At 37.3% G+C, this 24,143-nt stretch overlaps 1 protein-coding gene across 12 annotated transcripts in view, besides 1 other annotated feature; it reads left to right on the forward strand.

Moving 5' to 3' along the window:
• Positions 1-24,143, forward strand: part of PBX3 (PBX homeobox 3) — a 220,005-nt gene that overhangs the window by 55,751 nt on the left and 140,111 nt on the right. Inside the window, exon 1 of one of the 12 annotated variants that reach the window (XM_047423444.1) lies at positions 18,155-18,200. The exons of the other annotated variants lie outside the window; for them this stretch is intronic. The gene's annotated coding sequence lies outside the window, so the exon portion shown is untranslated. Of the gene's footprint in view, positions 1-18,154; positions 18,201-24,143 lie in introns of those variants that run through there. 12 annotated transcript variants of the gene reach the window in all.
• Positions 18,041-18,090: an enhancer, noted in NCBI's record as "active region_29015". NCBI's record gives its function as "activates an Ori minimal core promoter by ATAC-STARR-seq in GM12878 lymphoblastoid cells {active_cell/tissue: GM12878}" and the evidence as "EXISTENCE:reporter gene assay evidence [ECO:0000049][PMID:35858748]".

The raw sequence follows: 24,143 nt of genomic DNA on the forward strand, positions 1-24,143 counted from the left end.
CGCTGTGTCGCCCAGGCTGGAGTGCAGTGGTGCGATCTCCCCTCACTGCAAACTGCCTCAGGTGATCCTCCCTCCCACCTCAGCTTCCTGAGTAGTTAGGATTATAGGCACGGGCCACCATGCCTGGCTAATTTTTGTATTTTTAGTAGAGACGGGGTTTCATCATGTTGGCCAGGCTGGTCTTGAACTCCTGACCTCAAGTGATCCACCCGCCTCAGCCTCCCAAAGTGCTGGGATTACAGGCATGAGCCACTGTGCCCGGCCCCCACTGATGTCTTTTATAAGAAAAGTAAAAGTAAAAAAAAAAATTATTTTCCAGGATTCAAAGTATGAACATGAACTACATTTAGTTTTTATGCCACTTTTGTCTCCTTTAACTTGGAACAATTCCTTAACCTCTTTGTCATGACCTTGGCATAAAAAAATGGGCCATTTATTTTTTAGAATATGCTTTCAATCCAGGATTTTCTGATGTTTTCTTATAATTAAATTGAAGTTATACTGTTTTGGCAGGAATATCACAAGAATGATGCTTTGTCCTCAGTCATTAGATCAAGAGGCATATGATGTCACTTTGTCATATTACTAGTCATACTAACTTTGATGACTACTCTCGTTTATTTTTTACACGTTTATTGAAGTGTAATAGACATACAATAAACTGTACTCATCTACCTCTAATTTTTAATATAACTGATGAGTAAAGTTAATGACCTTAGAGTGTAGTCTTATGAACTCTCTGTTTGAATTACCAGAACCTTATGAAATGTCAGGGCCATGTGCTAGCCTGGTTTGCTAGCAAAGTCAGTGTAGACTCTACATGTCGTAAAAGGTGAATAACTGGTGTAAAAGAAGAGCAGGCTTTCTGACTTTGGGGTCTTTATCTAGTCTGAGTGTTGAGCATCTTTGTTGTGATTTTATAGCTTCTTCATCTCTTGCTACATTTGCTGTCATGAGTTTTCATGTCAGTAGCCTACTCTCAGATCAGTCTTGGGGATAACAAAAGTTACTAGAAATGGTGAAGACTAAATAGGTTATAGACTATATGTAGGTAATCAGTGGTAGGGTTTATAAATATAGAGTTTATTCAGTGTTAGATAGCTAAGAGTTATAAAGATTCTTAGGTCTATGCATTTCTTGGGAAAATTCATAAAGGAATTTCAAAGTTGGAAGAAATCTTAAGTGTCACAATCCAGAGCTTTTCAAGGTATATGAGCTATTGAGCCTCTTAGCTCTCTGGGCGGCTGGGCTCATCCTGGGATGGCTAAGCCCTTGTGCTGGTCACCTGTGGCTGCAAGCATTCTTGTCTGTTTATCGTAGTGTGCTGTACAAAACCATTTTCTAGGGACACCGTGACATGAAGGGATTATAAGGAGACTGTCTTTGTCCAGCAACCCATTTCATGTTAAAATCTCCTTCTGTCCCATCTCTGCTAAATGATGATTTAGTGTAGCCATTTATTCAACAAATATTTGATACAAATTATGTGCCAGGCACTGTGCTAGACTTAAGGAAAAGCGCAATAAAGAAGACAGGTGGGCGTGGTGGCTCATGCCTGTAATACCAGCACTTTGAGAGGCCGAGGCAGGTGGATCACCTGAGATCAGGAGTTCAAGACCAGCCTGGAGCCTAGCCAACATGGTGAAACCCCATCTTTACTAAAAATGCAAAAAATTAGCTGGGCGGGGTGGCGGGTACCTGTAATCCCAGCTACTCGGGCGGCTGAGGCAGGAGAATTGCTTGAACCTGGGAGACGGAGGTTGCTGTGAGCTGAGATCATGCCACTGCACTCCAGCCTGGGTGACAAGAGCAAGGCTCTGTCTTAAAAAAAAAAAAAAAAAAAGAAGAAGAAGAAGAGGAAGAAGACAGATAAGCTTCTCATTGAGCTTTTATATTTTGTTGGGGGAACATAGACAAAATCCAAGTATATCAACAGACTGATGAAAGAGATACTAAGTGAGGCCACTTTAGATAGGTTGTTAAAAGAAAATATTTTTTTGAGGCGGTATCATTTCACTGAGACTGGTGGATGAGAAGGAGCAGGCTTAAAAAAAAAAACTGGGAGAAGAGCATTCCAGGAAGAGGGACTGCCAAGTGCACAGGCCTGGCTGTGGTAAGGATTTGTTGGACTTGAGGAACAGAGTGGATGCCTTTGGGATTAGAGTGTAGTGTGTGAGGGGAAGAATAGTATGAGATGAGGTTGGGCAGATGAATAGGAGCCATGTGATGCAGGGGGTTCTGGGCAGAGTGAGGAATTTGGATTTTGTTCCATGCAGTGGGAAGCGTGTGAAGGGTTTTTAACAGGGGAGGCACATAGGCTCATTTTTTAAAAAGATGATTTTGACTTTTGAATGAATGGATTTTAGGAGGCCAAAAAATGAAAACAATGTGCCACTTGGAGGCTATGGTAGTCCCAGTGAGAGATGATGGTGGCCTAGACTAGACTGATAGCAGTAAAGACGGAGATAAATGGATGGATTAATGAGATGTTTAGTAATAGAACTTGGAGATGGAACTTGGAAATATGGTTGCTTGGAAGGAAGGAGTCAAGAATGAATCTTGGAGAATTCTGGCATGAACACTTGGTTAAATGATGGTGCCTTTCCCTAAAATAGAAAGTACAGTGGGAATAATAGGTTTTGGGGTGGGAGAGGGAGAAATGATGAATTCCATTTTGAGCATGTTAAGTTTGGATTGCCTGTGGTTCATTAGTTTATTCAAGAAATATTTATTAAGGTTCTGTGGTATGCCAGGCACTATTCTATACCCATAGGAATGAAGGAAACAGATAAAATTTCTTATCCTAATAGAGCTTAGCTTGCAATGGGAGAAATGTAATAAGCCAAATAAGTTTTTATTTCTATATATCTATGTATCTATGTATCCATCTCTATATCTGTGTAAATGTATGATAACTGCTTGGAGAAAAACAAGGAAGTGTCAGAGAGGTGGTGTTGAAATTTTAAAATGTTTAATAGGTGACTAGAGACCAGCCTTACTTGAGAAGATGACTTTTGATCTCATATCTGAAGAAAGTGAAATAGGCATGCATATATCCAGGGAAAGGGCACTTCAGGCAGAAGGAAGAGCAAATGTAAAGGTTCTGTGGTAGGAGCATGCTTGTGAAGTTAGAGGAACAGTGAAGAGACTAGGTGGCTGGAGCAGAGGGAGGGAGGGAGAGTAGGAGGAAATGGGTATTGTCTTAGTCTGTTTGTGCTACTGTAAAAAAATATCTGAGACCGGGTAATTTATAAAGAGTAAATTTCTTTTTCACAGTTCTGGAGGATGGGAGGTTCACGATCAAGATGCTGCCAGGTTCGGTGTCTGGTCAGGGCCAGGCTTCTGCTTCCAGGATGGCACCTTGCATGCTGTCTGTTCACATGGTGGAAGGGCAAAAAGGGGGCCTAGCTTGCTTTCTGCAGGCCTCTTATAAGAGCACTCAACCATTTGTGATGGCAGAGCCTGTGTGGCCTCATCACCTTCCAAAGCCTGTTAATACTGTTGCTTTGTGGATTAGGTTTCAGTATGAATTCTGGAGAGGGCACATGTGTTCAAATCATGGCAGTCATATGGGGGGAAATTGCAGATCATATTAAGCTCAGTGTCTCATAAGTTATTGTGAGCAGTTTGACTTTTATTTAGAATGAGATGAGCATTCATGTAGCATTGAAGTAAAGATGTCAGGTTGATAGTTGGACACAGAGATTTGGAGTGCAGAAGAGATTGCTGTGCAGGAAATAATTCCCAAATCTAAGACCACCCATGGACATGGATGAGATCACTCACAGAAAGTTTTGAATAATTTGAGAGGAGAAGATATAAGACAGACTCCTAGGGGACACCATAAACCTTTAAGTTATTAGAAATGGATTGCTAGTTTAATCAGTGGGGTAAACACATTTTAAGAAAGAAATATTAGCTGGGCACAGTGGCCCATGCCTGTAATCCCAGTACTTTGGGAGGCTGAGGCGATGAGATCACTTGAGGCCAGGAGTTTGAGACCAGCCTGGCCAACATGGCACAACCCCATCTCTAGTAAAAAGTACATAAATTAGTTGGGTGTGGTGGCATGTGCCTGTAGTCCTAGCTACTTGAAAGGCTGAGGCAGGAGAATCACTTGAACCTGGGAGGCAGAGGTTGCAGTGAGCTAAGTGAGCTGAGATTGCACCACTGCATTCCACCCTGGGTGACAGTAAAACTCTGACTCAAAAAAGAAAAAAAAAAAGAAAATATTAACAGAAGGAGTGGTACAACGTAGAATAGGCGGCTATAGAAACTGATGTAGTTAGCTTTCCTAACAGGGAGGAAGCAAGTGTTGAGCATGAGCACTCTGGTAGAGGTTGGGACACTTGGTAAGGGCTCTGAATTCAGATTGTGATTTGATTCTCAACCCTTAATACTTACAAGTGGCATAACCTGCGTAAGATTCCTAACCCCTCTAACTTGTCTAAATTCACATTTCTAATCTAAAAGGCTAGTATGTAACCTACCTCATAGGGCTGTTGAGTAAATTTATGTATCAGTACCTGGTTAGCCCTTAATAGATACTCTAGATTATTATTGTTAGAAACATGTTTTTTTTTTATTGTAGGTACATGATAGTTCATCAAACTTCTCTTATTAAATATCCTTCAAGACCAGTGCTGTACTTGCCAGTCTAGTTTTTATTACTTTGGTTTCCCATGCACCTTGACACCAGGAAAGGAATAAAGTTTCCTGGGCAGGATATATCAGTGTTTATGTTATCAAAAAGAGACATCTCTTTATAAATCAATACATTTTAACTCTAGTGTATACATCAGTTTTTAATTAATTGAGTTATTAAGTCTGTGAAATTTTGCTAATCTCTGGGTGAATGAATTAAGTCCACTTTTCATGTAGATAGATAGATAAACAGATAGATTGGATTATCTAGATTGATAGATAGATAAAGTCCAGATAGGGATAAAGTCTACTTTCTAGACCTTCAAGACAAACTAGGAGATTCTGGATGGTGGTAAAAATCACTACATACATACAATTGTTAAAAATTAAAAAGTTTTCCTAAGGAGTGGTCTATGTGGGGAAACAATTTTTTTGTTGGTTTATGATTATATCATTTTTCTAGTATAAAATAGGACGTATAGTGTGAAAAATGTGGGACTGACAGCATCTAAAAAATTATTACTTGACAGAATCCAAACTGATACCCTTATTTTTCTTTCCGGTACTTTAAAGTTAGAGTTGATTCTCATTATTTATAGCAATTATGTTTCATAAAGTCTCTGTAAGGCTGAGTGCAGTGGCCCACCCCTGTAATCCCAACACGTTGGAAGGCTGAGGTGTGAGGATCACTTGAGCCCAGGAATTTGAGACCACCCTGGGGACTCTGTCTCTACAAAAAATTTAAAAAATTAGCCAGGTGTGGTGGCATGCGTTGGTGGTCTTAGCGAGGCAATAGGCTGAGATGGGAGAATCACTTGAGCCTGGGAGGTCAGGGCTTCAGTGAGTTATGATCATGCTACTGCACTCCAGCCTGAGCTATAGAGTGAGACCCAATCTCAAAATAAAATAAAAAATACAGTCACTGTAAACACTAATTCAGTGTTTACAATGGGGTATTGTTTCTAGAAGAAATACAGGGTTAGGTTCCTGTGAGTCTCTGGTCACAATTTTTGTCAACCAATCATACATGACCTTGTTTTGTGTGTTTCTGTTTAAACACATCTTATTTAATATATATTGTTGATTCATTAACATTGAACTCTCAGCCAACAGCACTGTAACTCATGTCTTAACGAAGTTTATCTAACACATATTTTCTTTGTGGCACATCACAGCCTTCTTGTCCTTAGGAACACCAGACAGCACTTACCGCTGTTCTTGAGTGCCATTTTAAACAGGGACACCAGACAGCACTTACCGCTGTTCTTGAGTGCCATTTTAAACAGGGAAATCACCAACAAAAAGCACAAAATTACAAAAAACCTGGTACTAAATAGACTGCAAGAAGGATACCTGTTAACCATATAAGAGCTGAAACAAGAAAGCTGAGCGTCATTTTGTTCAACTTCAGCTGGGAATGTGGGTGTTGGGCAAATCAAATTTTTCACTGTTCCTTGCATATGCGTGACTGCAGATGACTGCAAAAGTGCCCTGAGGGTTGATTTTGGGGTTACAAATAAATTTTAGTGAGTAGGCAAATTTGTAAATATAGAGTGACTTTATTTTATTCTTGGGAAAAAATCTTTTTTCTTTTTTGGGGAGATGTGATAAGATGAACATTTGATTAGTTATTGTAACATTATTTTCCATCTCAATGCTGATTTTTTTTTTTTTTTGCCAAATAATCCTAAGGCTCCAGGTATTACCTTTGTAATCATTTGGTTATTTTTATAACTCAAATGCAGTTGTACTTCTGAGGATAGTCTAAGTTCTTTAAAAGTGTAAAGACAATTACCATCTCAATTAAACAGAAAACACGGAAGAAAGCAAATAAACTGTAAAACTTAGAAGGCAAAATGGAATATCTGTGACCTCAGGGTGGGCGAAAGATTTCTTAAACAATATAAAAATCACAATCATAAAGGAAATATTCAGCTATATTAAAATTAAGAATTTCTGATCATCAATGTAAACCATAAGGAAGAAATGAAAGTACAAGCCATGACTGGAAGAAGACACTGCAATATAGATCACTGGTCAGGATGTTTAAAGAATTCCTATAAATTATTATGAAAAAGGCAACCTGGTAGAAAAATGAACAAAAAACTTGAATGGGAAAGAAAAGAAAATTGAATGGTTATTTTACCAAACATGAAGTCTAAATAATACAGTAAGTTCTGTTGTAATGCTTGTTTTGAAAATGTGAGGATTGTTCCAACATGATTGGTATATTAGGGAATAGTTTGGGCACAATGTGAATTTCATGTGATTTTGTCCTTAAGAAACACTAGATGAATGCAGAAAACTGCACTTGGCTGAACTGAGCCACATAGGAATATACAAAGTGCACACATCTCAAACATCTATTAGCTACCTGAAGTAGTTGATAATGTTCTACTAAGTCACCCCTCCCTACTCTTTTATAAAAATTTCTGTTTTCTCAGTGTTTGTTTCTCAAAGCAAGCACTCTGTTCTAACTTATTATGACTCATGTTAGGTTAATATTTTATAATTCTCAAGGGGCTTACAATTTAAAGATAATTTTCTTCAAAAGAATGTATTTTATGTTGTAATATTAACCTTCTGGAGCAGGAATGAGTGTGTGTGTGTGTGTGTGTGTGTGTGTGTGTATGGTGGAGCAATGGGTGAGAAGCTTTTTATTGTACCTAGAAAACCATACATGTAAGCTTCTGTTCCCTATAAGGTCTGTCTTTTTACAGAATTTCATTCTGACTCTCCATGATTTCCACTTCTAAATGTCTTCTTGTGTTGAGTGGAACTTTTTGGCCAGTTTTCAGTGATTTCAGAGTCTAGTGGACTTGTGGACATTTTTATCTGGGTAGTTACCCAGCATCTTTTGATTATTTGTCCTATATTGAGGAAAATCTTACCATTGATTCTATATCCCTTGCTAGAAGACAATTTCTTTGTATTCTTTGCAGCCAGAGCTCAGGCATATGACACAGAGCCAGCCAATCAGATGCAGTCACCTGAGTTTGGAAGAAAGAAGTGTGAAGAAGGTGGTGCTGTGTGGAATCTGTCCTGATGAAGGTGGAAGAACTGGCAGAGAGATAGGCTTTTGGGGGTGGCAAATGGTAGAAATCTTAACTATAGCATTCTCTGCTCCCAAGATGCGAGGTGTGGTATCTGTGCCCAGTGGTAGTCTTCCATGAGGATTTGGTTATTATTCCAGGTTACATAGACCTCAGGCACTCCTGGGGATCCTGTAAGCTCCCTAATATCTTTTATAAACTTCTCTTCTGCTAAAAGTAGCTAGCATAGCTCCCATCTCTTCATGGTTCCTTAGCCTCTTTCTTTAAATCCATATTTAGAAGGCAAACATGAGATACAAATCTCAGTTGGCTGATGAAGGAAGGCCTGTCCAATAGCTTCTCCGTTAGCCTGTAAAATATGTATGTTTTATGAATTATTGTTAGCATATGGAAAATCAGTGTCGTAGCTTGGGCAGCTGTAACAATATACCATAGACTGGGTGGCTTAAATAATAAACGTTTGTTTCTCATAGTTCTGAAGGCAGGGAAGTGCAGGATCAGGCTGTGATATGGTTTGGCTCTGTGTCCCTACCCAAATCTCACCTTGAATTGTAATAATCTCCATGTGTCAAGGGCAGGACCAGGTGGAGATAATTGAATCATGGGGGTGGTTCCCCCATCCTGTTCTCATGATAGTGAATGGGTTCTCATGAGATCCGATGGTTTTATAAGGAGTTTCCCCCTTTGCTTGGCTGTCATTCTCTGTCTTGCTTCCCTGTGAAGAGGTTCCTTCTGCCATAATTGTAAGTCTCCTGAGGCCTCCCCAGCCATGTGGAACTGTGAGTCAATTAAACCTCTTTTCTTTATAAATTACCCAGTCTCGGGTATTTCTTCATAGCAGCATGAGAATGGACTAATACAGGCTGCCTACAGATTTAGTGTATGGTGAGTGTTCATTTTCTCATTTGCAGATGTCTACCTTCCTGCTGTATCCTTACATGGTGGAGAGAGAGATAATCTTTCTCATGTCTCTTTTTTTAGACATTTAGATGAATTTCATCATGGGGGCTCTGTCCTCATGACCTATTTATCTCCTGCTGTGGTCTGAATGTTTGTGTCCCCTGCAAATTCATATGTTGAAACCTCGTCACCATTGTGGTAGTATTAAGGGGTGGGATCTTTGGGTGGTGATTAGGTTATGAGGGCTTCACCCTCATGAATTATATTAATACCCTTGTAAAATAGGCCCAAGGGAACTTATTTGTCCTTTCTGCCTTGTGAACACGCAGCAAGAAGGCACCATTTATGAAGTAGATTGAGCTTTCACCAGATACTTAATCCACAGGTGCCTTGATCTTGGGCTTCCTAGCTTCCAGAACTGTGAACGATAAATTTGCGTTGTCCACAAACTACCCAGTCTAACTTATTTTAACAGCCTAAACATACCAAGACACCTCCCAAAGGCCCTGCCTCTAAATATCATATTGGGAATTAGTGCTTCAATATATGAATGGGTTGGGGGGCACAAATATTTCCTCCATAGCAATTAGTGAATAATAAAACCAGCAGCCATGTACTCATACTCAGCTTTACCAAATATATGCATTTAACCATATTTTCTTCAGATTTTTAACAGTCGTTAGATATTATGGATGTAGTCTGCTTATTTGGATATTTTAATTGACTGGATTTGCTTTGTTTCTTTTCCATTTACAGACTTAAGAGTTTAACATTCTGTTACTTTAATTGATATCAGCATGCGTTTTTACTAAGACTCAAAATCTCTTTATTGATCAATACAGGGACCTGAGCGTTTTCAGTTCCCCTTCCTGCTCCTGTTTTACGCTTTTGCGTGGGTTACGAATACAGTCGTGTCACTTAATGGCAGGGTTACATTTTGAGAAACTCATCATCAGGCAATTTTGTCATTGTGAGAACATCATACAGTGTTCTTACACAAGCTTAAATGATATAGCCTTCTGTACACCTAGGCTATATGGGATAGCTCATTATTGTTCCTAGGCTACAAGTCCATACAGCATGTTATGTGCTGAATACTATAGGTAATTTTAACACAGTGGTATTTGTGTATCTAAACATAGAAAAGGTAGAGTAACAATATGGTGTAAGAGATAAAACATGGTATAGCTGTATAGGGCACTTACCATGAATGGAGCTTGTAGGACTGAAAATTGCTCAGTGAGTGAGTGGTGAGTGAATGTTTAGGCCTAGGACATTAGTGCATACTACCGCACACTTTATATATGATGTACACTTAGGCTATACTAAATTTATAAAAATATTTTTATTTCTTCAATAAGTTACCCTTAGCTTACTATAACCTTTTTACTATATAAACTTTAATTTTTAACTTTTTGACTTTTGTAATAACACTTAGCTTAAAACACATTGTACAGCTTTACAGAAATATTTTTTCTTTACACCACAGAGCATTCAGATTTTTTTTTATATCCGTATTCTATAACCTTTTTATTAATTTTTTTTACTTTTTAATTTTTTTTTGTTAAAAACCAAGCCAAACACACATTGGCATAGGCCAATGTGTAAGTAGGGTCATGATCATCAAAATATCAGTAGGTGATAGGAATTTTTTAGCTCCTTTATAATCTTATGAAACCATCATTGTATATGTGGTCCATGGTTGACCAAAACATCATTATGCAGTGTATAACAGTAAATGCAAACCCCAACTGTAGTCATTTAAACGCATCAAGATATCTTTTATGTCATATAACAAGACACCCAGAGGATTACAATTTGATTCAGTAACTCATTAATGTTGGAACCATTGTGTTTGCAATCCTTCTGGCCAATGAGAGCCCTTCAGGCTGTCATCTGTGTCTTTTTGACATGTCACCATTATTCTTCAAGCAGTTCCTTATATTCTGGTATGATAAGATGTTCCCAGCTTATCTTGTCTTTGCCTTGTCCTAGCCCTGGAATCAACCGTTTCTTTAAGTATACTTGGTTCCTTTTAGTGGATAATGACATTGAGAAAACAAGATTTGAGTGTAAGTTATGCTCATTGCTATTAGGTATCACTGCTTCTGAATCTACTCAATGAAAAGATCTAGAGAAATACATACATAAACACGTATGTCGGCCGGGCACGGTGGCTCATACCTGTAATCCCAAAACTTTGGGAGGCCAAAATGGGCAGATAACCTGAGGTCAGGAGTTCAAGACCAGCCTGGCCAACATGGTGAAACCCTGTATCTATTAAAAATAAAAAATTAGTTGGGCATGGTGCGCCCCTGTAGTCCCAGGTTTTCAGGAGGCTGAGGCAGGAGAATCACTTAAACTCGGGAGGTGGAGGTTGCAGTGAGCTTAGAGATCACGCTATTGCACTCCAGCCTGGGCGACAGAGTGAGACTCCATCTCAAAAAAAAAAAAAAAAAGTATCCTAGGATCAAAGCTAGCAGGTTGCATGTTCCCTTCAAAGATGGGTACTTTCATATTTGACCTAGTGTTCTCGCAGTTATTATATTTTTCTATACTTTGAAAAGTTACTACCCTTGTTAACTCTAACTTTGTATAGATTTTAACTTGTTTGTTCCATCTCTTTTTTTTTGGAATGGTACAATGCCAGTAAAACTGTAGAATGAGACAGAATGGATCCAAATTGTTCCAAACTGTACTGTTCTATTTAAGATGAGTGCCGTAAGTGCTGTGAGCTACATATATACATTTAGATCCCAGGATTTTTAGTTCTATAGAGTCATTCTAGAGGATGTGAATAGTGAAAATGTTTCCCATTAACAGATAGATGCAATTCTAACTATCTGAAAATAACCTAGAAAAAGACCTGCTATCTGGAACAGAAATGGAGAGACTACTTTTGACTGCCCAATGAATAACATTCATGATTATTGACCAGTACTGGATCAATTTAGCCTCAAAGACCATTGATCATGCTGTATTCTTAGAGCTGTATTGGCCTTTTACTTCTCCACAGAGGCACAGATTATAGTCAGTTTGGCATTCGTTTTTAATTTTATGAAGAGTGTTTTAAATTAAAACCTATCAGATCACTCTCCCTCCTTTGAGACATTAATGTGGTCCTTATATAATTAAGCCATCCACCATTCAAGCCGATTAACAACTTCCAGAATAGGAATTTGAGGTTGAAAACACTATTCCCAATTGCCATTCTTCAGCCTGAAGGATTAGGGAATTACAGCCTCTCATTTCTAACTCATCTTTTATCAGAATTCTGAAAGATAAAATCTTCCTTATTTCTCAGTTCCATTTCTTTTTCCTTACTTGTATGCTTAGGAAGATAATTTTTCCTCACAACCTGAAGAATTATGTCTATTTTTTTGAAAGACTGAAAGAAATCAGACTAAGTAGTCAGATTTTCTGTCCTTCAGGGTAACTTTCTGGGTCAATCCATTTTGAAAAGAATATTTTTCAACTAGTTAGCAGGTAATTTTAAATTATAAAAGTACTCTCCTTGCACAGTTGAAAAAAATGTTGTAACCTCTTGCTGTTCTTCTCCTTCCTATAGTCCCACTCATCAGAGAAGACCACATTTCATCTTTCTCTTTTTTGTTTTCTTGCTAGTTACCCACCATAAATTTAAATAACTGAAATTGTTGACTGTATATCATTTTTCCATGGTAAGGAATTTGGCTTATTTATATAATCTCCCACATAATTTCCTTCTCTTCCTCTCTGGTTTTGTTGTTGTATTATTTTTTGTTCTGCTGTAGGTTCCTCGTATAACATAAGCAATGTGTTCTCTAGCTTTGATTCCATCAATATCAGACTGTATTACTTTACTTTTATATGAAACAGGAGGAAATTAGTACTCCCTTCTTTAACTGTTGTACTTTTGATATTACCTCTTAATTATTTTTGGAGAATGGTTGTCTGACTTCTCCTTTGGGCAAATGTTCTTTGCAGTGACTGGGTGTGTGTGTGTGTGTGTGTGTGTGGAAAATGTGAGGAGGGACCAAATTTCTCAGGTGTTACTCAGACCTTCTTTTAATTTACTGCCCCATTTCCTGTTGCTGTTCTCTGTCCAAGGTTGGAGCCTCTGTCAGTCTTTGCTGGGAAAACCGGCTCCTACCTCCTTCTCATTGTAGATTTGGGCCTCCTTCACTGTGATGCACTTGTCATTGTGGTGTCTCATTTGTTATCTGTGTTACAGAAATTTATCAAAATCTGGTCTTCTTCAGCCCCACCCCCTACTCTTTCTCTCTGCCTCCCTCCGTCTCTCTCTCTCTCTTTTTGTTTTTTGAGACCGTGTCTTACTATGTCACCTAGACTGCGGTTTAGGGGTGCGATCATGGCTCACTGCAGCCCCGACTGCCCGGGCTCAGGTGATTCTCCCACCTCAGCCTCAGGCGAGGACCACCACGCCTGGCTAATTTTGGTTTTTGTTTTTTGTTTTTTGTAGAGACTGGGTTTTGCCATGTTGCCCAGGCTGGTCTTGAACTCCTGAGCTCAAGTGATCTGTGTGCCTTGGCCTCCCAGAGTGCTGGGAACACAGGTGTGAGCCCCTGCACCCGGCTCTTCCCCCTTCTCAATGGTATACCCTTTACAGTCCTATCAGAGGGAAACTGGAAAGGAAGAATGGAAATTAAACATACATACTCAGTCTGCTCTCTTGAGCCAGAAGATCCAGAGCGATGCTTGCTTTTTAGTTGTCTTCAATTGTTATTGAATATTTCTATGGTGCTTTTACATTGTTCGGAGTGATTTTATCTGCTTAATCTTCATAACAACCTTTGATTTAGGTGGAATGTATATTACTCTTGTTTTACAAATTAGGAAAGTGAGGATTAGAGCGGCTAAGTAAGGGATTTACGGATGGTCACTTGCCTGAGTAAGTTGCAGAACTGGGATAGAGATTAGTGCTCGAATCTTCCAACTCAGGGTTCAGTTCTCTTTATATTATACTCTTTTGACTGGGGAAAGGGTTGTGTCTGTCCTCAAGTTTTAGTCTGTCTCTCTTTTTTGTGTGTGTTTGTGTGTGTGTATATACACAGAACATTTCAACACTGAAATTGCTTGGCAGTTTCATGGTCTTTGTGCCATACCTTCTTTAACATAGAATCCCAGTTTAATCTTTTTATCCTTTACCAGTTCTCTTCTTTTCTTGTAATGTCTCATCATTTAGATTATCAGATGATTGGTCCTTTTTGACTATTTTTGGAGACACCAGAGTTCTTATATGGTTTCATTTTTTTCTGCAGTTAATGTATCTGTGCATGCGTAGCTGATCTTCACCTTGTTAAAAGGTGAAACAATTTTTTTAATCAACATTTTTTGCTTCTTAGTCTTTCCAAAATCAGTCATGAAACTAGAGTGAAGAATTATTCTGTGTTGATAACCTCAATAGAGTAAAGAATTGGTCTGTGTTAGCACTGGTCTGTAAAGGCTACCTATAAGTAGTTTGGTTTTATCAGTGTGACTAGTTTCTTTAAAGTAGATTAGAGATGAAGTTTAGATACAACACATATTGAATCACACAGATTTGTTGTTTACTTCCAATACTTATTTATTAGGTAAAAATAAACCTATAAGAGATCTTCTTCAAGAGTATTTGCATCCCACATTCCAACACTATTCAAAGCCTTATTTTCCTAGAGATCTTGGAGGTGGACTAGAGGTACTTGTGACTTATGTGATGATGTATTTTTTTGCTTATAGATTAATCCACTGGGGTTTGTGCGATAGATACATGTCCCCTATTCTGAAAGAAACACACACACACATTAATTTCATTGAGTCTTTCTTTACATTCATATTTGCTGAGTTGCACAACTCCAGGTTGCATCATTTATAATACACTTTGATAACGGTGCATTCTAGAATTGTGCACAATGGCTACCCCACTAAACTAATCTAACTAAAGAACTCATAGAATGTAATTTAATGAAATAATTTTAAGTTTGGGAATTTTCATTCAGCTTTGATTCTAACTCACTGTAAAGTCTTACATCTTATTTTTTTTGTCCTACAAATCGAAAAAATACCATCTGCTCTAGTACCCACTTACCTCACAGAAAAGATTTGTTAGATTTTTAAAAAATTGCGGTGGAATTCCTTGGAGATAAATTCTTGTGAGTATAGCGTGCACCAGCTGTAGATGATGGACCATTCACAAAGTATATTATAAATGGTGTAGTATTGGCTGGATGCGGTGGCTCACGCCTGTAATCCCAGCACTTTGGGAGGCCGAGGCGGACGGATCACGAGGTCAGGAGATCGAGACCAGACTGGCCAACATGGTGACATCCTGTCTCTACTGAAAATGCAAAATTAGCTAGCATAGTGGCTCACACCTGTAGTCCTAGCAACCTGGGAGGCTGAGGCAGAAGAATAGCTAGAACCCGGGAGGCGGAGGTTGCAGTGAGCTGAGATGGTGCCACTGCACTCCAGCCTGGGTGACAGAGCAAGCCTTTCGTCTCAAAAAAACCAAAAAAAAAACAAAAACCAAAACCAGATATAGTATTACCAGAGAGTTCCTGCTCATAAGTATAAAAACATTTCTTACTTAAGTTATGAAGTTTGAAAATGAGCCTTACATACATAACCATACTTTTTTTTTTTTTAATTTGAGACGGAGTCTCACTCACTCTGTCACCCAGGATGGAGTGCAGTGGCATGATCTCAGCTCACTACAGCCTCTGCCTCCTGGGTTCAATTGATTCTCCTGTCTCAGCCTCCTGAGTAGCTGGGATTGTGGGTCTGTGCCACCACGCCCGGCTAATTTTTATTTTAATTTTTTTTGTATTTTTAGTAGAGACAGAGTTTCTCCATGTTGACCAGCTGGTCTCAAACTCCTGACCCCAAGTGATCTGCCTGCCTTGGCCTCCCAAAGTGCTGGGATTACAGGCATGAGCCACCACACCTGGCATGATGAGATTATTTTTTTAAAGATATATAGAAACAGGGTCTTGCTGTGTTGCCCAGGCTGGTCTTGAACTCCTGGGCTCAAAAACCTGCCCGCCTCAGCTTCCCAAAGTGTTAGGATTACAGGCGTGAGCCACTGCACTCAGCCTTGATGAGAATTATTTTTATTATTTTGAAGATGATGATGATGATGATTATTATTATTATTTGAGACGAAGTCTTTCTCTGTTGCCCAGGCTGGAGTGCAGTGGTGTGATCTCGGCTGACTGCAGCCTCCGTCTCCCAGGTTCAAGGAATTCACCTGCCTCAACCTCCCGAGTAGCTGGGACTAGAGGTATGCACCACCAAATCTGGCTAATTTTTGTGTTTTTAGTAGAGATGGGGTCTCACCATGTTGGCCAGGCTAGTCTCGAACTCCTGGCTTCAAGTGATCCACCCACCTCGGCCTCCCAAAGTGCTGGGATTACAGGTATGGGCCACTGTGCCTGGCCTGATAATTATTTTTAATCTCATACTTTCTAATGTATAATTCCAAATCTAAAACTATTTTTTTACTTTTTAATTTTCCAAAGGAACATTAATTTTTATTTTTAAATTTTCAAGGCCAGGCGGGGTGGCTCACACCTGTAATCCCAGCACTTTGGGAGGCCTAGGTGGGCGGATCACCTGAGGTGGGTAGTGAGACCAGCCTGACCAACATGGAGAAACCCTGACTCTACTAAAAATACAAAATTAGCTGGGTGTGGTGGTTCATGCCTGTAATCCCAGCTACTCGGAAGGTTGAGGCAGGAGATCACTTGAACCCGGGAGGCGGAGGTTGTGGTGAGTCAAGATCATGCCATTGCACTCCAGCCTGGGCAACAAGAGTGAAACTCCATCTCAAAAAAAAGAAAAAAAAATTCAATTCTAGCTATAATAGATCAGCTGAACTATATGGAAATGGGAAACGTGCAAATACTACTGATATCTTCCCTGCTTGTAAGAAGAGGGTTTAGATATAGATATGGGCAAAGCTTCATTTATGAATAGATTTATATATCTTCAGTGTACATATATATCCAGTGTTTTATATATATATAAAACTGGTGTTTTATGTATATATACACAATGTAACCCTGTACTCTTCACTTTTAAGTTTATTTTAGTTAGAATCTTTTAATACGAAAACTTAGAATATGAAATAGCAAAATACTACAAAAGTTGAAAACAACTCTGAGCTTTTTTGTGAATATTATCTTTTTTTCTGCCACATTTAATTAGTTATCTTTTTTGTATTTCCCATGTAAATTTTATTTCACATTCTTGGAGGATTAATATGGAATTTGTATAGATTTTGGAAAAGAAATTTTAAAAAACCCCAAAGAAATCTATTCCTATTCATTGTTTCTTTCACCTGGATCTCCTAGTACCTATAAATGGGTGCATGAAAACGTTTGCACTGCACTGAATTGAAGTTTTTACTGTGGGATTGAAAGAAGCACTGTGAAAAAGATGAAGAAACAATTGACCACACTGGATCTGTAGCCCAAGCTATTAGTTTAGTCTTAGTGTAGTCTACTCTGAATTTTGACTTACTGGATATTTAAGGTCTCTGGTTATTCCTAACAGACTGGTTGGCTTTGCTTCACCCAAATAGATTGTGGTGTGAAACAAGACACTTGATACCGAGATTAAGGAATGTCTCATGACAGTGCTTGTTTCTATTCAGCACTCCCCTCCACTTTAAAATTAACTGTTTAGGGCTTAAATGAAATGGGTTTTAAAAGCAAGACAAAACTTTGTTCTCGCTCCCTCACTAATAAACCTGTAGCATCTCACAGTAGAAAAAAGTATAGTGGGACTTACTGGCACCATGGTGCACAGCATTGAAGAATTTCATATTGTGACAACACATCAAAATAAATTGCTGTCAACAGACCAAAACACCAAGTGCTGTGATTCTGTCTGACGTGTGAAGATTCAGACAGGCTGTCTTGACAAGTTGTGGTGGAGCACCTGCATTTGACAGAAGACAGTGATATAAATCTGATTTGCCTGATACGAAGCACCTAGATATAGTTAATGCTGGTGACAGTAAGTCTGCATAAAATTTCCAAGCTGCAAGTCTGACTTTATTTTGCCTCTATTAAGTAGTAGTATTTTTTTGGTCACATTTTGATTCTCACTTATTTTCTATTTGTATTTGTAGTGTGGCCTTGAAATATAATTATGAGTTGTAAACTCTGAAAAATGTGACAAATTAATGTTTTGTTCAGTCTTTTTAAAAGTAGTATTGCAAAAGGCAATACTACTACAGTTGCTCAAAGCAAAAGAAAAGCAATGAAATTTTATTTTATACTAATCATAAATGTAATCATAGTTTAGGTTGTATTAATTTTGTAACTTATAGCCAAAATATTGAAAATAGTGGGTTAAAAGTCATGAGTTCCTATAAATCTCTCAAGCTGCGTTTGCCTTTAAAGCCTCCTGAAGAGGTAAAATCACTGAATTAGGTGGTTAATTTTTTCTTTTCGTTACCAATAAATGATAACTTTTTATAGTACCAGTATATATTACAGCTCATTTAAGAATGTGTAAAACATATCATAGCTCTGGAGTTTAATTATAGAACTTTATACGAGCTTCTCTGTTTCAGTTCTTCATACAACCACAGATACTAGAGACTTCATTCTGACAGTGGTAAGCTAATAAGAAACGCATAGAGGTATAAATTTCAATTACATTTTTCTAATTGTATCTTAAGATTTAAGAGATACTAACAATGGACTTTAGTTGAAAGAAAGAATCTTTTTTAAAGGAAAGGATTAATATAGGGGATTAATTTTTAAAAATGGAAATGAAGACAAGATCATATTAATTGTGTTATTTTTTACTTTTCTGTAGTAACTAACTTGTTGGTAGTATTTCATGGTAAGATTTGTTATTGTCTAAATAAAGAAATCTATTTGGTTTTCCCAGATCTCAAAGATGCTACTATTTCTTACCGAATTTATTGCTTAACTCATTTGAAGATTAGTTTCATTTTATCACCAATTGTTGCTCTGGTGGTTCCCCTGTGAAACACAGTGAAATAATTCAAGGATTCTCAAATTTGAGAAATTTTGAAATTAGCTCTGTCCACTATATAGTTTTAAAAAGTACAAATTATTTGTTTCAAGTTACTATTCATTCTTGACTGTATTGTTGTTTTACCCCTTAAAGGCTGCTAATGAGAAATAGAGCCTCATTATGATTTTAAGGATGAGAGAGGAAGGCTTTTAATTAATGATATGTAAATGGTCTTGAATTGATTATGTTAGAATATCAAGAGAGATGGGTAGAAGCTGTGGTGTAATATATTTTAATTAAGAATTAATTAAAAATGATGGCAATTTCATAAAGCCTCACAGAAAATAGTGGAATTTACTTTCTGTCAGGAGTAAATTAGCCTGTGATTAAATAAAGGGCCTGCATTAATAGTGGAGTTATTTTTAAACTGTGCTATGAAGAATTATGTAATTTTTCCTAAATAAGTAAAATTAAAATTTAATATTTAAAGGTGGGTAGTAAATGGTGGCAGAGAGCTAACTTATTTTTATGACTCAAATATATTGTTTCTTCTTTATAAAATTTTGTGTAAATATTTTTAACCTCAGCATATACAGCATATAGCTTTAAAAGAATGGACTTTGTCTGTTCTATTGCCCATTTGGCATTGGGGATAAGGAATGCTCTTACACGTAGCCATGGCAGTGGTTTTCCTCTTGTACACAAGATCTGGGAAAGATCTTTACTGATGACTGAAAATTATTTTTAAAGGAGGTACTCTTCTTTTTTTCCCTGTTCTCCAGAGTTTAAAAACGTTTCTTCCTTAGATGTGGTTTTTCATTGTAAATAATACTCTTTCTTTAGAAACTCTAAAATGTGTATATTTCTTTACGTTGAAACCTGAAATTTCCCTGAGCATACCGTTTATTCAGACTCAGACTACACTATTTTTATAAACATTTTTTTCCACTAGTTTAGAGAAATGTTTTAAAAGGAAACTTGTCTTTGAGTTCAACTTGGATTGTAATTTGAATGTAGAAGAAAGGCTGCATAATCCAATCAAAGCATATATTTCATTAATGTTTTTTGTACATTAATACAGGGTATCTCAGTATAGTAGCTTATTATATTGAGTTATTATTTAAAACCCCACATAATACATTATGATACCCTCAACCTTAATTCAGTACTTCATACTTGTGAAACACCCCATAATGAGTAGTTGAATTTTGGGATTTTATGGATCATCCATATCAATAGTTATATAACTTGTGGGGTTTTTTAGTTTTTTTGTTTTGTTTGCTAAGTAGCTAAAAAAAAAAAAAAGATGTGAGTTTTACTTTGTCAGAACCTCCCACCATTCATTAATTCTCCTAACTCACCTATGTTTGCCTATTTAGCAAGTATGCCTCTTGTATGTGTAAGTTTGTGGTATGGTCATATTTGATGACGCTTCTGTGGTTCTTGAAACTCCAAAATACAGTTGTGGGAAAAGTGGAGAAACGAACATTCTCTGGTTCCCTCTGCAAATGCTGACCATTGCTGTTGATTATTGACATTTTCAAATTTACTTCAGTCACTGTAATATATAAAAATAAGCATCACAAATAAAAGTTGTCATGACCCTGTGAGGAAATTGTTGTTGATGTGCTATTTAACTTTTATTTACCTGTACATGCTGCTCAGAAAATGGTTTTTATGTACCAGTGTGTGTTATGCTGTTCATTGAAGTATTACCATAGCAACAGTAATATCTCTTGCTTTCATCTTAATGCTGATTTCAAGATACAAAGATAGTTTTTAAAAGACTGAATTTAACATATATAATGTTAATATGGTCCTTTTTAAGGAGGATAAATTACTTTTTTTTTTGGTAATAGTGTTAAATAAAGTTTTAAAGGCTAAATAGTCTGTTAGTGCCTCAATGAAATTTCTGTGTTAGCTACTTTGGATCAGTCTCCTTTTTTAAAAAAAGAAAGAAAGAAAGATTAAAAAAGAATTCTGTATGTTTTTATCTTGGGGTTTAGAAGACAGAAAAGAATGGTTAAGAGAAGGAAGTACAGATCCAATGGGAAACAGTTAAAAGATTTGGAACGTGTTTTGACTAGAGAAAAGTAGGCTAGGCTGGGCGCGGTGGCTCATGTCTGTAATCCCAGCACTTTGGGAGGCTGAGGTGGGTGAATGACTTGAGGTCAGGAGTTCGAGACCAGCTTGGCCAACATGGTGAAACCCCATCTCTACCAAAAATGCAAAAATTAGCCAGGCATGGTGGCCCGCACCTGTAGTCCCAGCCACTCAGGAGGCTGAGGCAGGAGAATTGCTTGAACCTGGGAGTCAGAGGTCGCAGTGAGCTGAGATCGTGCCACTGCACTCCAGCCTGGGTGACAGAGCAAGACTTTGTCTCAAAAAAAAAAAAAAAATGTAGGCTAAAGGGTTAAAGGATTTTTATGAGCTTGATGCCAGGTGTTTGACCTCTGTATACAACTACTATTATTATTTTTAGCTTTATCAATAAAGGATGAAACATAAGGAAGTGTCCTGAAAGTGAAAGTAAGAAAGATTGTGGTTTGATTTGTAGAGGGGCTACGTAACCACTAGAGTGAAAAATGACTGGTCCGTTTGTGAGTCTCTGTACCTGTTGATCTGTCTTGGGTGTGTGCTAGATATGCCTGGAATGAAGAATCTTAACCAGAAGCATGCTCAAGGGCCTGTCCACAGTTCCGTTATTCCATGATGCCTTATTGATCCAGTATTTCAAAGGAAAGTATACCTTTCTTTATTATGAGAATGCATATTTAATTAATTTGTTGTGCACAGGACACTTAGGCTTCTCATTGCTGTTTTCCAGGTGTCTCAAAGGACAAGATAACTCTAGTCTCCAAGGTATATTGTAAGTCTAGTCCTAGGCCTTCCTAGTTTATAAGGAAGTTAACAGGGTCTAGAAAGATACAGTCTTTCAGACTAACAGGTTCTTATTGATTGTATTAGAATTTAAATTAGAATCTATATGATGAATTACATTTGATGAATCAGTTGGCTTTTTTTTTTTTTTAAATACTCATTGCTTACTAGACAGTGGGGGACAACAAAGTCTCCAGAAATGGCTGATCTCAGCATTGCTATCTGTAGCCGCAGCTGTTGTTATGTAACAATAACGATAGCTACCATTGACTGAACGTTGACTGTTTGCCATGCGTTGTGAAAAGTGCTTTACATGCATTAGTTCATTTAATCCTTGTATCAACTCTATGATTTAGGCCACTGATTCTCGGACTTTTTGTTTTCAGGATCTCTTTCCATACCACATTTAAAATTAAAAATAATTGAGAATTGCCAGGCATAGTGGCTCACGCCTGAAATCTCAGCACTTTGGGAGGCTGAGGCAGTGGATCACTTGAGCTCAGGAGTTCGAGACCAGCCTGGATAACATGGCGAAACCTTATCTCTACAAGAAATACAATAATTGGCTGGGCGTGGTGGCATGCACCTATTTTCCTAGCTATTCAGGAGGCTGAGGTGGGAGGATAGCTTGAACCTGGGAGGTGGAGGTTGCAGTGAGCTGAGATTGTGCTACTGCACTCCAGACTGGGCAACAAAGTGAGACTCTGTCCCCCGCAAAAAAAAACAATTATTGAGAACCTAGCAAGCTTTGGCTTATGTGGGTTATATTTATTAGTATTTACTGTATTAGAAATTTAAAAATTTTATTAGTTTATTTTAAAATAACAATAACACGTTAGCATAAGTATCATTTTAAAATAAAAAACAACTTATATTTCCAAAATAAAAAATTAGATGATTGATATTGTTTTACTTTTTTTTTTTTTTAACAAATTCTTTAATGTCTGGCTTCAACAGCTGTTTTCTCATATTTCCTTCTGCATTCTGTTGTGATGCCATGCTTCACGTAGCCTGTTGTCAACTTCATTGTATACTCATGAACAAATTAGAGTTAAAACAGAAAATGTGACATCTTAATGAATTATGAAAACAGTTTTGACCTTGCAGAGCCCTGAGGGTACCTCAGTGACCCCACGGGTACCTGGGCCACAGTTTGAAAACCACTGATTTAGAAAGTATCCTCATTTCATCAGTAAGCATCACTGTGTACTTCTGCTATCCTGTATTGCTAACAAGTGTCCATTTTTCTTTTTTACTCTCAATTTTGGCATTTAGAGGATCAATTCATGATTGTGATATCGCCAAGTTTAATGTAGTAGCTTTGTTTAGTTTAGGAATCTTATTTGGGAACTTGCCTAGAATGTCCTGGAAGGAAGTCTGTTTAATTTTGCATTGGGAGATACTTTATAAATGTTAGCTGTGGGTGGCAGTTTTCAACCAGTTAAATTCTACCATTATCTTTGAGAAAGGCAATAACGTTAATATTTAACTAGTTCCAGAAGTTAGGATAGAACATTTAATTCCAGGAGAAAACAGCTAAAATTGCCTGTAGTGAATAGAGATTCTCGCCTAGTAAATTCCTTTATTTACCACAATCTTACCAGGTTCTTTTGAGGCATGATTTTTACCTGTTTTAACATTTTTCATGGCTCAATTATTTTACATATAGGATTCTTTGAAAAAGAAGTGCTTCCTAACTTTAAATTCAAATAATTTATTTACTATTCTCATATCTTGATTATTTGTCACAAATGATATAGTAATAACCTTCCTTTCTCTTCAAAATGTTTTTATGTGAAGTTCAAACAGAATTGAAAATCAGATAATATAAGTCTTGTCGACTCTAGCTTGTCTGGAATATTCACAAATTAATGAAGGGTCATTGGTGATTATGGGATTTTTTCCTTTGAAAATATATCTAATGAATACATAAGATATATTTCATAAACATAATATGGTAATGTCACTACTAAGTATTTAGACAGTTCAGCTTATTGGGTGATGACACACACTTTTTTTCTTTGAAAATATATGCATAAGATATATTAAATATTTGAAAAATATAATAAAGGTAATGTCAGTACTAAGTATTTAGATGGTTCAACTTATTGTGTGATGACTTTATTCAGAAGAGTGGATTGCTCTGACCCTTAATTATGGACATATTTTTTAATTGACACATAATATTTTCTATATTTATGGTGTACATGTGATATTTTGTTGCATGCATAGAATGTGTAATGATCAAGTCAGAGTATTTAAGGTATCCATCACCTTAAGTATTTATTATTTCTCTGTGTTTGGTAACATTTCAAGTTCTTTCTTCTAGCTACTTTGAAATATACCACACATTCTTGCTAACTGTAGTCACTCTACCCTGCTATCAAACATTAGAAATTATACTTTTAATCTAACTGTATGTTTGTACCCATTAACCAATCCCTCTTTATCCACACCTCCCACCCACACCCCTCCCAGTCTGTGGTGTCTGTCACTCTATTCTCTACCTCTGTGTGATCAACTTTTTTGGCTCCCACATATAAATGAGAACGTGAAATTGGGACATAACTTTTAACCCAATAAAATTATGCAGTATATCAATGAATGTATTTGAATGAATTATTAGTGGTAATTCTGAAGTAAAGACCCATGTAGGGTATATGGACTTTTTGCATTTTGATTTTTGCTTATGAA

Source organism: Homo sapiens, chromosome 9 (assembly GCF_000001405.40).
Source record: "Homo sapiens chromosome 9, GRCh38.p14 Primary Assembly".
In the NCBI taxonomy this organism is placed as follows: domain Eukaryota; kingdom Metazoa; phylum Chordata; class Mammalia; order Primates; family Hominidae; genus Homo; species Homo sapiens.